The sequence below is a fragment of the Homo sapiens genome, chromosome 9 (genome assembly GCF_000001405.40).
Source record: "Homo sapiens chromosome 9, GRCh38.p14 Primary Assembly".
NCBI classification, from domain to species: domain Eukaryota; kingdom Metazoa; phylum Chordata; class Mammalia; order Primates; family Hominidae; genus Homo; species Homo sapiens.
Window position 1 is genome coordinate 116,216,282 of NC_000009.12, and position 14,614 is coordinate 116,230,895.

At 41.4% G+C, this 14,614-nt stretch overlaps 1 protein-coding gene across 3 annotated transcripts in view; it reads left to right on the forward strand.

Annotated features, from left to right (window-relative positions):
• PAPPA (pappalysin 1) overlaps positions 1 to 14,614 on the forward strand; it is a 248,531-nt gene that overhangs the window by 62,491 nt on the left and 171,426 nt on the right. For 2 of the 3 annotated variants that reach the window (NM_002581.5, XM_017014784.3), the window contains exons 5-6: positions 3,656 to 3,848; positions 11,150 to 11,271. In NM_002581.5, the coding sequence (NP_002572.2) occupies positions 3,656 to 3,848; positions 11,150 to 11,271 (315 nt within the window). Of the gene's footprint in view, positions 1 to 3,655; positions 3,849 to 11,149; positions 11,272 to 14,614 lie in introns of those variants that run through there. The other variant, XM_006717129.4, reaches the window with a different exon arrangement.

Here is a 14,614-nt window from a genome sequence, read left to right on the forward strand (position 1 = left end):
TGGCTGACGGGGGGTCAGCATTGTGTCCAAAGTCCTAAGTGGAGTGAAGGCATGGTATTCATGACCTGAACCTCCATGCAGTGTGCCCTTTCAGCCACAGATGGACATTTGTTCTTGAGAGGAAGATTCAGTTAGCAAACCCAGGGTACCGTATCAACAGCATGGGGACTGGCATAGGCTTCCCAGTGCTGAAGTCCCGAAGTTCTTTCTGCTTTGGGACAAGATACAGACAGAAGAACAAGATGAGCTGGCCACTCCTGGAGACCAGATGAAGTGGCCACAGATATCAAGAGGGGAGGCACTGGGGGGAAAGAAGCCAAGTGGGACTGACTCTAGACATTAGCTAATTGAGGCAGATCTTTTGTGATAGATGAAAACCCTTTGGTACCTCTCCCCAGATTTTGATAGCTGCTAAGTCTCCAAGTAATGTACCTTGGGATAGATTTCGACTTCAGCTTTTTTTTTATTTTTATTTTTTGAGGCGGAGTCTTACTCTGTCGCCCAGGCTGGAGTGCAGTGGTGTGATCTCAGCTCACTGCAACTTCTGCCTCCCAGGTTCAAGCGATTTGCCTGCCTCAGCCTCCTGAGTAGCTGGGATTACAGGCGTGCACCACCATGCCCAGCTAATTTTTGTATTTTTGGTGGAGACAGGGTTTCACCATGTTGGTCAGGGTGGTCTCGAATTCCTGACCTCGTGATCCGCCCACCTTGGCCTCCCAAAGTGCAGGGATTACAGGAGAGAGCCACTGTGCCCAGCCTCAACTTCAGCTTTAAAGTTCAAATACATTCCTGTCTCCCTACTAGGTTCCATCACCTACCCATTTTTTCAAACTTATTTTTATCAACAAATGTGAAAATGGTTCCATTTTAAGTTATAAAAGAAAAATACACTTTTTTGTTGGGGGAAAGCAAGTAAAGTAGATGTTTATACAGGAAAAAACCTACTGTTTTTCAGTGTCATTCATCTTGAGAAATGCTTTTTGTGCCCTTGCTCATTGAATTCTCACAACTTCATGGTTTGGAGTTTATTTAAATGCCCCCAATTTATGCACGAGGGAACTGAGTCTTCAAGTTGTCTCATTTTTTGGTCATGTCTGATTAGTATTCTGTTCTATGTCTGTGCCTTAAAGTACACAGCCATTTCCCTATGAATGAACAGATGTGCTATTTCTAATATTTTCACCATTATAAATTATGCTTCAAGAAACATCTTTGTATGTCTATTTTACCCCTGTTTACCCAAGAGTATCTATCTTTTGAATCCATAAATTCCTTATTGTTAGATCAAAGAGAATGCATATTTTATATCCTGAATTTTTTTCCTGCTTCCAGTTTTCTAACACTCACACATACATGAGCACACGCAAGCATACACACACACACCACACACACACTATTTCCAATTCCCATGTACTAACATTTATCATGGGGCAGGCATTGCTCTTAGTGCCCCACACCCCTGCACCTTGGCTGTGTTTTGAGATGAGCAATCGCGTTATCATCACTGTCTTCACTTCACAGATGGGGTAACTGAGGCACTGGGGGCAGAAAATCACTTGTCCATTTGACTCCAGATTCTGTGTGCACTAATCTAGTCACGTGGCCATACTTCTTCCCTTAGCCATCATGCCCTTCTCCTGCATGTAACCTATTTGGTGGCTTTTCCAAAGTTTTCAAGATGAAGTACAAAGTTCATGGCAACAAAGAAAAAAGTGTCCAATTATCTGGCCCTTTTCGGTCTGAGGACTTTTTCCTTGCAATAGGGAGCCATAGAATGTTTGGTATTCAGGAGTTACATGGTGGGATCTGGGTTTGAGAGAGATTTACTCGGTTATTCACTATACTGTGTTTGTTAAGAGACATTGGGCTCTTCCACTTCTCCAAATGTGTTAAAGACTTCCCTAAGGTGCTGGAAAGGAGATTGGCAAAAATTACTAAGGGGATTTAAGGCAGCTTCTGCATAGAACCTCCCTCACACCCTGCACCTTCCCTAAGCTGGATTCTCAAAGCCATGTATATAGCTGTCCAGCACCTGCCCAAATGTATTTAATGTTTGTTTGATAAGAAGAAACCAGTATATGCTGCAGGATTCCCAGTAGCAAGTTTATTTTAAGATTGGAAGAGCCCTGTACTCCTCTGTCTGGGGCCCAGCTGCAGGCTCCCTGACCAGGTGGACACCTCTGGGAAGTGGTGTTTTTGGAAATTAAGCCAAAACAGTGCATTGCCCTGTCCCTAGGGCAGTTGAATAAAACTGTTGGAGGGAGAAATGCAAGCGTTCTCCCTCAGAACCAGGTCTTAGGTCACACCCTGGAAAAGAGAGATTAGGATCAAAGGTCCTTAGATCTAAAGACACCTGAGAGATTGTGTTCCAAGCTCCCTTAGCCTCAGACTCAACTCCCATTTATCAACCACCTGCAGGATTTTATATCCATACAATGTCTCATTTATGCTTGAAAAGAAGTTCTCATATTGATCAGAAGCATGGCCTTGAAGTCAGGACTGCCTGGGTTCAAACCCCAGATGTATCCCTAGCTTTGTGATTTTGAAATAATTATTTACCCTCTGTCAGCTTTAATATCCTCTTCTGTACGATAAGGAAAATAGTAGTGCGTACTCCAAAACTCCAGAGAAGGAAAGGGGTTTACCGTGTCTAAAGCACAGTGCACCAATGGCAGCATGGAGTGGGAGATGTTACTACTCATATTTTCAGCATGCACACTACCCTGGTTTGTTCCCAGGTCTGCCTGACTCCCTGGCCTGTGCTCTCTGCCTAAGGCACCATGCCTCTGTAGTCATGCAGCACTTTCTCCTGCAATCCCTCTCCTTTCTTTTCCAATCTTAGCCGTGCAATCTGATCAGCCTCAACTATCTCCTTCTTTAGAAGCCTTCCTGGTCGCCTGCCTGTCCCTGCACCCACCCATGCCGTCTTCCTCGCTTTATCAGTGATTGACATCACAGACTTTAGTAGCCTTGTAACAACCTTGACTCATACACTGGACTGGTCTTGACTCCATAACTAGACTTGTACCTCATCATGGGCAGGAACTTTTAAAGTTTCATCTTTCCATGCCCTTGGGCACAGAGCAGAAATGTAGTAGACACTCAGAAGGTTTGTTTGAAGGGTAATATCAGCACATTGGTTAATAGTGAAATTAATGAATGAGTGGATGAAAGAATGTGAAGGAATGAGTTGGAACCAGTGAGTGCATCAATGAATGAGTGAATGGATAAACAAGTGAATGAATGAATGAATGAATGAGAGATATTGAGTGGGGGGTGAGGGAGGGAGGGAGTAATGGAATTGTTGACTTAGTGCCCAGTGGATTTGGGGGCCATGGGAAATAGGGGAAATAGCTCATCTTGCCTGTGTCCTTTGCCGTGACCTCTGGGCTGCTCTCTTCCCAGTCTCAGCCATACTTTTTCAGTTACATCCACCCTTCCCTCCCTCCTGTTTCCTCTCACCTGTCTCCAGAAGTGATGACTACACTAATTTGTTCACAGGCCATTAACTCTTGAGAGCTGGAAGAGGCCAGCCCTGAGTTGGCAAGGAACGACTTGGGTGCTGACTCTTGGGCCGCCAGGAGCCGTCATTACTCTCTCATATGCCTGCCTGCCTTGCGGCTTGGTGCTTATCTCTCCCTCTGCCTGCTTGCAGATGACGACTGTACGGACTCCTTCACGCCCAATCAAGTCGCCAGAATGCACTGTTACCTGGACCTGGTCTACCAGGGCTGGCAGCCCTCCAGGAAACCAGCGCCTGTTGCCCTCGCCCCCCAAGTTCTGGGCCACACAACGGACTCTGTGACACTGGAGTGGTTCCCACCTATAGATGGCCATTTCTTTGAAAGGTGAGTGTGCCCTGTGTAGTGTTGATCCCTCTCTCTCTCTCCTGCCAAGAAGAAGGAAACTTGGAAGGGAAGCAGACTTGGAGAGGGATTTTACTGCATTTCTTGTTCTTGTTCAAAAGGTATCTCCACCACCTAGCATGTTGTAAATTTGGGATCAGGGAATAAATAAATGGTCATTAATAGAAACAAATAAATAACAATAAATATTTTTAAGTGAATGGGTACTTAGATTCACTTTGTTATTAGAAACTTGGAAACCTCTTTTGCTACAGACCTCTTCTGGGATGGAGGTAATAGTCTCATCTCCATGAGCTCAGGAGTTGTGATTGCCTGGGCAAAAACATTTATATTATATTATATATTATATTATATTAATTATATTGTATCATATTATATATGCTTATATATGGATATATATATTTATGTGTGTCACGTGTGTATATAAGTACATATTTACATATAAGAATACATATACAAGGCCGGGCATGGTGGCTCACTCCTGTAATTCCAGCACTTTGGGAGGCCAAGGTGGGCAGATCATGAGGTCAGGAGTTCGAGACCAGCCTGACCAACACAGTGAAATCCCATCTCTACTAAAGCACAAAAATTAGACGGGTGTGGTGGTGCGCGCCTGTAATCCCAGCTACATGGGAGGCTGAGGCAGGAGAATGCTTGAGCCCAGGAGGCGGAGGTTGCAGTGAGCCGAGATGGCACCACCGCATCTCAGCCTGGGCAACAGAGCGAAACTCTGTCTCAAAAAAAAAAGAAAAAAGAATGCATATACATATATGACATATAAACATAATTTTTGCACCAAATGTTTTTTTTTTTTATTTTGTAGAACTAAAGGTAGCATTTTATAAGACCAGGGAATGATAAACTGAGGCACAAGGTACCTCTATTCTGCTGCCCTGACTGTTCGTTAATTAACCACATGGCCTTGAGCAAGTCACTTTCTGTCTCTGAGCCTGATTCTCCCTTCCCTGAAAACTGGGTCTAATGATACTACAGTGGCTTGAAGGTGGAGACCTGAATCAAGTGGTCTCTTGTGATCTTTCCCCCATATAAACTCCTTGAGGAGCTCAAGCTCTAAGGGGACCAGATTTAAAAGGGTCATGAAAATAGACCAAGGTATTTGCATCTATTTTGGAATTTTGCCATAATTCAGGGAAGATTAATGTATTACCTCTACTCCCAGCCCTTCTTTGGGATGCTTCATCTAGTAATGGTGATATATTAATGATGGTAAAAATAATAACCATGCTAATAATTAGTTAATATTACTTTATTGTAGTTGCTGGGATCTATCAAGTGCTTACTATGTGATGGATTCTATACTAAATGCTTTACATACAGAATCTCATTTAATCTTTCTGGTAACCTTGTACAAAACAAATCATCTTCCTCATCTGCTAGATAAAAAGAGAATTGGAGCTGAAAGAGGCTGAAAGGTGACCAGAGGGTCATGGAAAGTGGCAGGCACTGGGCTTCAGCTCTTGTTTTGTATTGTGTTATCTCAGACTCGTATGTGCTTTCATTAAGTTGTTTCAGAACTAGAATTGGAGAAAAGGCATTACACTGCCCCCCGCAAGGCAAAAAAAAAGCCACAAAAAGAAGCAAGAAATTCTCATTTACAAGTGTATTTGTCTGCATTTGTGTGTGTGTCAAAGACATATTAGGCAAAGGACCTAAATAGACACTTCAAGACACACAAATGGCCAACAGCTATGTAGAAGAAATGCTCAACCTCACTAATCATCAGGAAAAGGCAAATTAAAACCACAAGAAGGTGTCACCACACACCTGTTAGAATGGCTATTACCAAAAGGAGGAAAGATAAGAAGTGTTAGCCAGGGTGTGGAGAAAAGGGAACACCTGTGCACTGGCAGTGGGAATGTAGGTTAATATAGCCATCATGGAAAATAGTATGGGGGTTCCTCAGAACATTCAAAATAGAACTGCCATATAATCCAGCAATCCCAATTCTGTGTATATATTTAAAGAAATTGAAATTAGTATGCCAAAGAGATTGCTACACTCCCATGTTCACTGTACATTATTCACAATAGCTAAAATATAGAAGCAACCTAGGAGTCCATCATCAGATGAACAGGTAAAGAAAATGTGGTGTACAGATGGTCTCCAATTTACGATAATTTGACTTCCACTTTTTTGTCTTCACAATGACAAAAAAGTAATATGTATTCAGCATTGCTTTGAGTATTAAGATGGTATAAACCTATTGTAAGTTGAAAATATCGTAAGTCAAAAGTGCATTTTCAACTTACCGTATTTTCAACTTAAGATAGGTTTATTGGGTGAGTCCTAACCCCATTGTAAGTCAAGGAGCATCTGTATAGACACAATGGAATACTATTCAGCCTTAAAAGCGGGAAAATTCTGTCATTTTCAACAAAATGAATGAACCTGGAAGACATTATGCTAAGTGAAATAAGCTAGGCACAGAAAGACAAATAACTGCATGATCTCACGTATATGTGGAATCTAAAAAAAATGAATTCATAGAGGTAGAAAGTAGAATGATGACCACCAGAGGCAGGTGGGGTGAGTGGGGAAAGGGACGATGTTGATCAAAGGGCATAAAGTTTCAGGTAGATGGGAGGAATAAGCTTTAGTGATCTGTTGCACAGAATGGTGACTCTAATAAATGATAATGCATTGTATATTTCAAACTTGTGAAAAGGATAGATTTCAAATGTTTTTGCCAAAAAACAGTGTGAGAGATGATGGATTTGTTAATTTACCCAATTTAATCCCTCCACATTGTAAACATATATCAAAACATCTTACTGTACTCCATGAATATATACACAATCATTATATGTCAATTAAAAATAAAATGTTAAAAATTTTTGAAACCTATTTGATCACAGTACCACATAAAATGTGGGCATTAATTTTTCACATTACCATCAGTACCTGAGTCTAGAACCTAAATTTGGTAGCTGGCGAATGTGATCATCAGGGAAGGAAATGCACTTACTATGCTCTGTAGAAATTCCCCTTCCCCTGCCCCAGCCATCCTCACTGGGAGCACAGAGCTGGGTTTGGGAAACCTCGTGTGACACTTCAGAGGTTTCCAGCAGGCCATAGATTTATTTACTTTTTCTGTGGTGATGAGAAGTATCAGACTTTTGGTCAAGCCTTGGCCTCCATTCCACTTGAAAATGGAAGTTTCATAAATGAAGCTTCCTGTGTATGTATTTAATTTATATTTCATAAAGCAGTTACTGTCCATTAAATAAATACCACCTGATTGTTGGAAACCTATTTGAGGGTTAATTGTTGTGTAATGAGATATGTCTCTATTACACAGTGTCCTTAGCTTCAATCAATATGTTTTTAATCACCTATAGTCAGTTGGTTCTTGAGGCTCATATAGTAGCTATTCTGTTCAGTTTAAGATTTCATAACATAGTTATCATACGTTAAATTAAAACTGACATTTCCAAAACATATCTAATTAGGGTTAGCAGCTACGTTGACCATAGTCTATGGCTAAAAGAAGTCAGTCCACAAATTCAATAAATTGTTGTAAAGAAATGGAACTGTCTTTAACGTATATCACTCTCCCATACAGATGGAATTTATACTCATGCAAATTGGCTTAGTAGAAAGTATACAAGCTTTAATGCCAGGTCATACATTTCCCGTCCTCAGCTTTATCACTCCCAGTCAATGGGACCTTGAGCAAAGCCATCTCACCTCTGATCCTCTGGGCCTTCTTCCATCAAAATGTGCTCATCCTGCCCACGTCACCTGGCTTTTGTGAAGAATTTAGCAAGATAACGGTGAAATGCCAAGCACACACACTCTATGTTCAAGAAACATCAGCTCCCATTTTGTGCAACATTTTCCAGAGCTGTTTAGCTTCTTAAAAATTCCCTTTCCCTGCAAAGCCTCTGGTGTTTTCCACTACATCCATCAATGCCAACCTCTCGCCCCTGGCCATCCTCATGTCCTCCTGCTGTTCTCACATCTGTGGTCTAAGAGAATACAAGGGTTTCCCTTAAAAAAACATATTCAGATCCTCCCACAGCCTGTGTCCTCACACATGGGCAACTGAATAAATAATTCAAGGCCACCCCTGGTTTTCCTAACTCCTTTATTTTTATCTGTCTTGCAAACACGTGTTGACTGGGTTGTTTCAGTTATCTGACAATTGGCCATGGTATATTGGAAATAGTACTGGACTGAAAACCAAGAAACCTGGGTCTGAAGTCTTTGCGACCTCATCCATTCCCTCTGCCTTTGGCCTCAGTTTTCTGATGTGTAAGCCAAAGATGTTCTAGGCTTTCTCAACCAAGGTTCCTCTTCTAAATTTTAAGACATGGAAAATGATTTGTGTAACTATTTCCTCATTTCTCCCAAAGATGGTATATAATAAGTACTATTTTAGTTTCATAGGAGACAAGTTAATTCATTATATACAATGGATGCCTTGGAGAAACACTGTCCAATAGGATTTGCTGCAATAACGGAAATATTCTATATCAGTACTAAGATTATAGCCATTAGCCAACTGGGGCTTGAAATGTGACTGGTGTGACTGAAGAATCAAATTTCAAATTTTATTTATTTTTAATTAAATTAAGTTTAAATAGCCACATATGGCTAATAGGTGCCATATTGGACAGCACATACTTAGAGCTTTAAGCTTTAATTTTCATGAAACCCAAGTAAGAAAGATGAGCTCTCCCAGCTTTGGTATCCTGCATGTCTATGATTTCATTGTGTATGTTTGTGTGTGTTTATGTGTAGATATAGGTATCCATGAAGACAATGTGAATGTGAAAGGTAGGAAACACATACAATTCCTAGATGTGTAGGACAGGACATCATACATTTGCTTCAGCTGGATGATTATTTGTTCACTCATCCAAGTATTTATTGGGAGCCTGGGATGTATCAAGAATTCACTGAAACTCAGGTGGCTTTATGTGTATCACCCACAATGAAACATCTAAAGCACATAGACGAAATAATGAATGACCATCAAGGTCAGCATGGTTCCTGAATTCATCCCAGAACATTTGTAACCCCAGTGTCAGTCTAAAGCCAGTCATGTGACTCAAAGCCACTATGCGTGGATTGTGGTCATCCTAAGGGAATGCCTCCATTAGCAGTGCTGAGGAAGCCTTTCTCTCCACTCCTACTTTTCTGCATTTGAGTATATTTGTATAATTGTTATTATTGCTACTCCAAGAGTAACTCATGTATTTAAAATATGTAGAAAATTTAGAAAACCAGAAAGAGTAATAATAGGGGGTGGGATCAATCATCCTATATTCCATTGCCCAGAAATTGCTGCTGATAATATTTTGTTTCATAGTGTTATTTGAACATTGAGATATTGCTATAGATTTAGCTTTGGATGTTACTTTTTCATTTAATATTATAGCTTACACATTTTCCATGAAGTTGCATAATATTTATAAATATTTCTGCAATAACTGCTTGGCATTCCATTAAGCATATTAACCATGGGCTATTTAATGATTCTCTTATCACTGAATATTAATATTAGTGTGCTTGCAAAATTTCCACCTACATATGGTTTCATATTTACAATGATAAGGCTGAGAATGCAAAACCTACAATTTGAAGGTCTGCACTAAGTTAGCCATGAGTATTAGCACATGCCTAAGTGACTGGTATCCATCCATCCATCCATCCATCCATCCATCCATCCATCCATCTATCCATCCATGCATACACCCATCCATTCAACTGCTTATACTGACCAACATTATAAGATAAGTTGTGTGCTGTGCTGTGTGAAATAAAAAGATGGTTATTAGATATTGACTTTGTCCTCAAGGACCTCACAATCTATTAGGATAAACTCTCCTGCATGTCAAAAAAAGTTTTCACAGAGGAAATGATGTCAAAGGTGAACTTGAAGGAGGAGAAACATCAGCCAAGTGAAAAAAGTCTGCAGAGGGGATGTGGGTAACATGACGCAACATGATAGGTAGACAGAGCTTATCATGGAGAGAAACAAAGCTAGAGTGAAGCAGAGGATAGTATGAAAGAGCATTGAATACCACATTATAGGGCATTAGGGGATAAAATCACTGAAAGAGGTAAGCAGAGGCATGACTTGTTCATCTTGAGGTTTGGGGATGATCTACTGTCCGCTGTGTGGAGGAGGAACGGGGAGAAACAGCACACTCTGATGCTCACAAGCACACGGTTCCTGACTGTGTGAGCCCAGAGGCATAGTGAACGTCCCTGTGAGGGGAAAGCCATAAGGAAGGCTTCAGACCTGGCTTCTCCATTGCATCCTTTCAGGTAGCCAAAGCACAGAAGTTCTTCCAGGAATGATGAAAGAGTTATCATCAGGACCATTGCACTTTGAGAAATAATGGGTTGTGCTGGGACATTTCTCGACGTCTTCCCGAGATTTTGTTTCCAGTCCCTCTGCAGAGGTCACTCAGATTTGCAGTTTTCAGTTCACAATAAGACAGGAGAAGAGGACTCATTCCTCTCCCTTCTCCACAACTGCCTCATAAACAGATGCCAAATCTGGAAAATGAGTAGGATCCCAGAGACTCTATAGCCAAAGGAAGATTGAATCCAGATACACAAGACCCAACTTGGTAGGGGAAGCCATCATAATATTCCACTTCTGGGACTGGTCCCATTGAGGGATTGGCTAGCCCCTTGGAAAGCCGCTACAATGAATTAGATGGCATGGTAGAGAAACTGCTTTTGACTGTAAAATCGAGGAGTGACTCATCCATCCACAGAATGTCAAGGCTGGATGGTTCTTTAGGCATCATTTAATCCAGCCCTCTTATTTTCAGAAGAAGGAACCATGCCATCTTCATATTTAATGCCTAAAACACAAGATGGTGTCTGGCACATAGTAGGTACCTGATAAATATTGTAAAAGGAGTAAACTTTGAGAACGAAATGGAGCAAGAGATTTTCTCATAACTACATTGCAAATCCTCAGTGGAGCTTTATATGCCTGATAAAATTAAAATTATTGCAGGTGGTGAGACTTCAGCCTGTTGACTTTGTGCTGCTAAAAGTCAGAGAAATGTATGCATCATCAGAACAGAAGCCACTTAGGCTCAAACGAGGTTCTTGCTGGGCAATGGGGAGGCATTTCACTTACGGTTATTTCCAGAAGCCTTGGCATATGTAGGCAGGAAAGGGGGAAACACAGATTTGTTGTGTCCTCTGCCCCATTGACTCTGGCCTAGTCCCATCAGTTGCTCATTCAACTGTTCCTAAGTCGGTGCATTTTCCCTCTTTCCTTGGCCTCCTAGAGAATTGGGATCAGCATGTCATCTTTGCCTGGAAGGGAGAATCCTGGTGCAGTATGCTTCCAACGCTTCCTCCCCAATGCCCTGCAGCCCATCAGGACACTGGAGCCCTCGTGAAGCAGAAGGTAAGCCAGCCTTCTGGAAGCTCATTGACAGGAGGAGTGTGCAAAGAACAGCTCTTTCAATGTATATGGGGTTTTATTATTTTTATGGGTCTTTGCCATGTATCATTTCATTTGAGTAACATCATCCTGCAAGGTTAGTAGTCAAGCGCTCATCCATTTGACAAATACTTTTTGAGCACTTGCACTATCCTAACATGTTGTTCTCATATTACAAATGAGGAAACAAAGACAATAAGATATTAAAGAAGTGCCCAAGGCCACACACCTGATACAAACACAGTGTCTTGGGGGTATTTATATATCCTTCAGACCCCAACTGCTTGTAGTTACAAACAAGGCCACTTTAGAGTCAATACAAATATTTTGGGGCTTCAAGGCATCAGTGGTCTTTGATTCTTCTTCTGTTATTTCTTAGACTATACAGAGCACTTTCACATGTGTTGCAACTATTCCTTTTAATTTCTTCTATATACCCTCTTTTTGGGATCTATTTACCTGTAAGACACATAAAGGAAGTGCCTTATGATTGCCACTATTATGGGTTCCACCCACTATCAGACTCTTCCCTGCTCAGGGTTGTCTCTCAGGCTTACCAAGGAACCAATGATCTCTGTGCTTTCTTACATCATCATTGAAATTAAGAGAAGAATACCTTTTGCCAAATGCTTGTTGTCACACTTTGTCACTTGGCCTCAGAACCAGGCTGGCAGAGGCTCCATACTTTCCTCTTAGTCTTTCATCTCCCCCTCCCTGGTACTCAGGGATGTACACATAGACCCTGCCCCCACCCAGTCCCTCTTGCTCTTCTGCAGGTTAGCTCATGCCAGCAGTCACTGGGTGAGGACACTATTACACCAGTGCATCAGAGGGAGCGGAATCAGTCTTCTCACTGAACACCAGTGAGAACTCCTCCGCTATCCTCTATATTTTTAGAAAGAAGGTTGAAAAGAAAAAGCCAGAGATAGAATAAAGCAAGGGGGAAGGATCAGAGAGGAAAGTGAAGTTGAAAAACGACGGCACTGCACTTTATTTTTTAAAGTAGCTTAAAATAAAAATGAGAGTCAAACTTGGGAAGTCTAAACAAATCCATCTGGAATGTAAAGCAAGAGGGATGTCTGGGAAAAGCCCTCAGTTCAGCCTCACAGAATCACAGGCTGTCAGACCTGAGAGGGATGCCTGGGGTCATCTGGCCCGGGCTCCCCCCAAGTGCAGGAATCCCCTCTATGTGCATCCTCACTGAGGTTCCCTGGAGCCTGTTCAAGCTCCAGTTTTTTAGGAAGTTCTCGAAATCTGCAATTGTAATTTTTCCACCCAAACTGAACCCACTTTGGGTTGTCACAGAGAATGTGTGTCTCTGCCACCTGACAACATTTTGCATGCTTGTATCTAGTGAGCCTGTCTCACTAGTGACCAACACAGGCACTATATGCTGGGCACTGTCTTGGGCACATGGGCAAGGCAGTGCTGAGTGTCTGCTAGGGAAGTCAGATAAGTAAATGGCCAATTACCATTCAATGTGAACAGGCTTATGGTAATAGAAGTACCAAGTGGTGCTGGGGGCCCATAAGAAGGGGACCCCATGCAGAACTGGAGACTCAGTCTTCCCATGAAATATCACAACACTATTAACGAGGTGCATCTGAGAATGTGAAAAAGTTTGGTATGTTCACAGAGTGGCTGTTTTCTAAATCTACTTCAGAGGCTTATAGGGTTCCTGGAGACGTTTATAGGGTATCCTCAAAGTCAAAAGTATTTTCATACAATTACATATGACATCATTTGCTTTTTCCACTCTCATTCTCTCCTGAGAGTCCAGTGGAGCTATCTGATAGACACATGACATGTGATGTCATTTGTGCTCTGATAGCTAATGGAGCACACTCTTCTGTATTCTTGAATTTTTAAATTTCTTAGCTTTAGTTTATAAAGCGGAAACTACTAATAGATATAACCTGCATAAGCAAAAGTTCAGTAAGGCTATAAGAGTTTAAGTAGGTTCAGAACATGTAAAACAAGGTAGAGGTGGCAGAGGTAAGACAGATGAGATAGATAATGGCCAGGTGAGGACGGGTTTGGATTCACAGCAAGGGCAGTGAGAAAACCATGTGCTTTATGAGGGCATGATATATGGTAAGACCTGCATGTCATAAAGATTGCTCAGACTGCTGTGTGAAGAAGAGATCAAGAGGATTTGGTTGCTAGAGGAAGGGAAGCAGCAAGGTGACTGTTGCCAAAATCCAGCTGAGGAATGATGGTGGGCTGGTGAGGTCGGTGGCTGTGAGAATGGAGAGAAGTTTATGGGGTTGAGAGGTACTTGGAAGGTAGAATTAGCAAGATTCTCCCCTGAGATGTCTCTGGCTAAAATTATCTTGCTTTGTTCTACCACTTGTTTGAATAAAATTATTTCCAGACATCTCCCCACACTTACATCCAATGCAACTATTAGTTGGTGAAGTTTGCTCCTAGTTTGTTCCTGACCTTCTTAAAGCATGATATGCAGAATGGAGTTCAACTGGAGGCACTGAGGTCTCTGGTTCCCTGAGCCAATTCGGAGCTCCAAGGAAACCCAGCAGCCTTGGGTTTTCCTCCTATGTAAATTTAGTACATGTGCACCAGGAAAAGACACTGTTCTTTTTTTAGAGCATCCTATTACAGTCTCTGTGATCCTTTTGGCTCAGACCCTTTTAATATCCTTGAAGAAATAAACTTTTCCATGAGCCAAACTCTGCAATTTATTTCTCAACTCATTCTCATCCTATTTATCTTCACATGTTTAAGTTTTTGGACTTCCCAAACTAACTTAAAACTCCCAAATTCATGAGCAATGCCAGACATATCTGTATGGTTGGGGAAAAAACATGGGGAATGCAGGGGAGGGAAAGGAGGAGGATTGGACCATGGTCTCAGCCCTACTATTGATGTACTCTGTGCCCTTGAGTGAGTCACATAGCTTCTCTGAAAATGGCATTGTATCCACAGAATGAAAAGTTGAAATATAATATCCTTTCTAGCTCTAATATTGCATGGAGCTGTAACTTCTTTTCATATAATCCCATATTAACTAGCAGAAGATTCTTCATTTAACAAATCTTTATTGGAAATCTACTGCATTTCATTAGCTTCATTTCTAAGAAGGTAAATACAGTCATAGAACTGCTTGCCTTTGTTCATAGACAGTGGTTGCACTCCTACCCCTTGAGCAAAAACTGTATTTCATACATGAATATTTTTGAGATATTTGACGCCATGTTTTATCTGTAGCCTATAAATTAGATAAATATATATTTCTTGATCTGACTGACTCAAATCCCAGTTAAGATCACTTATGCAAGTATAAAATAGA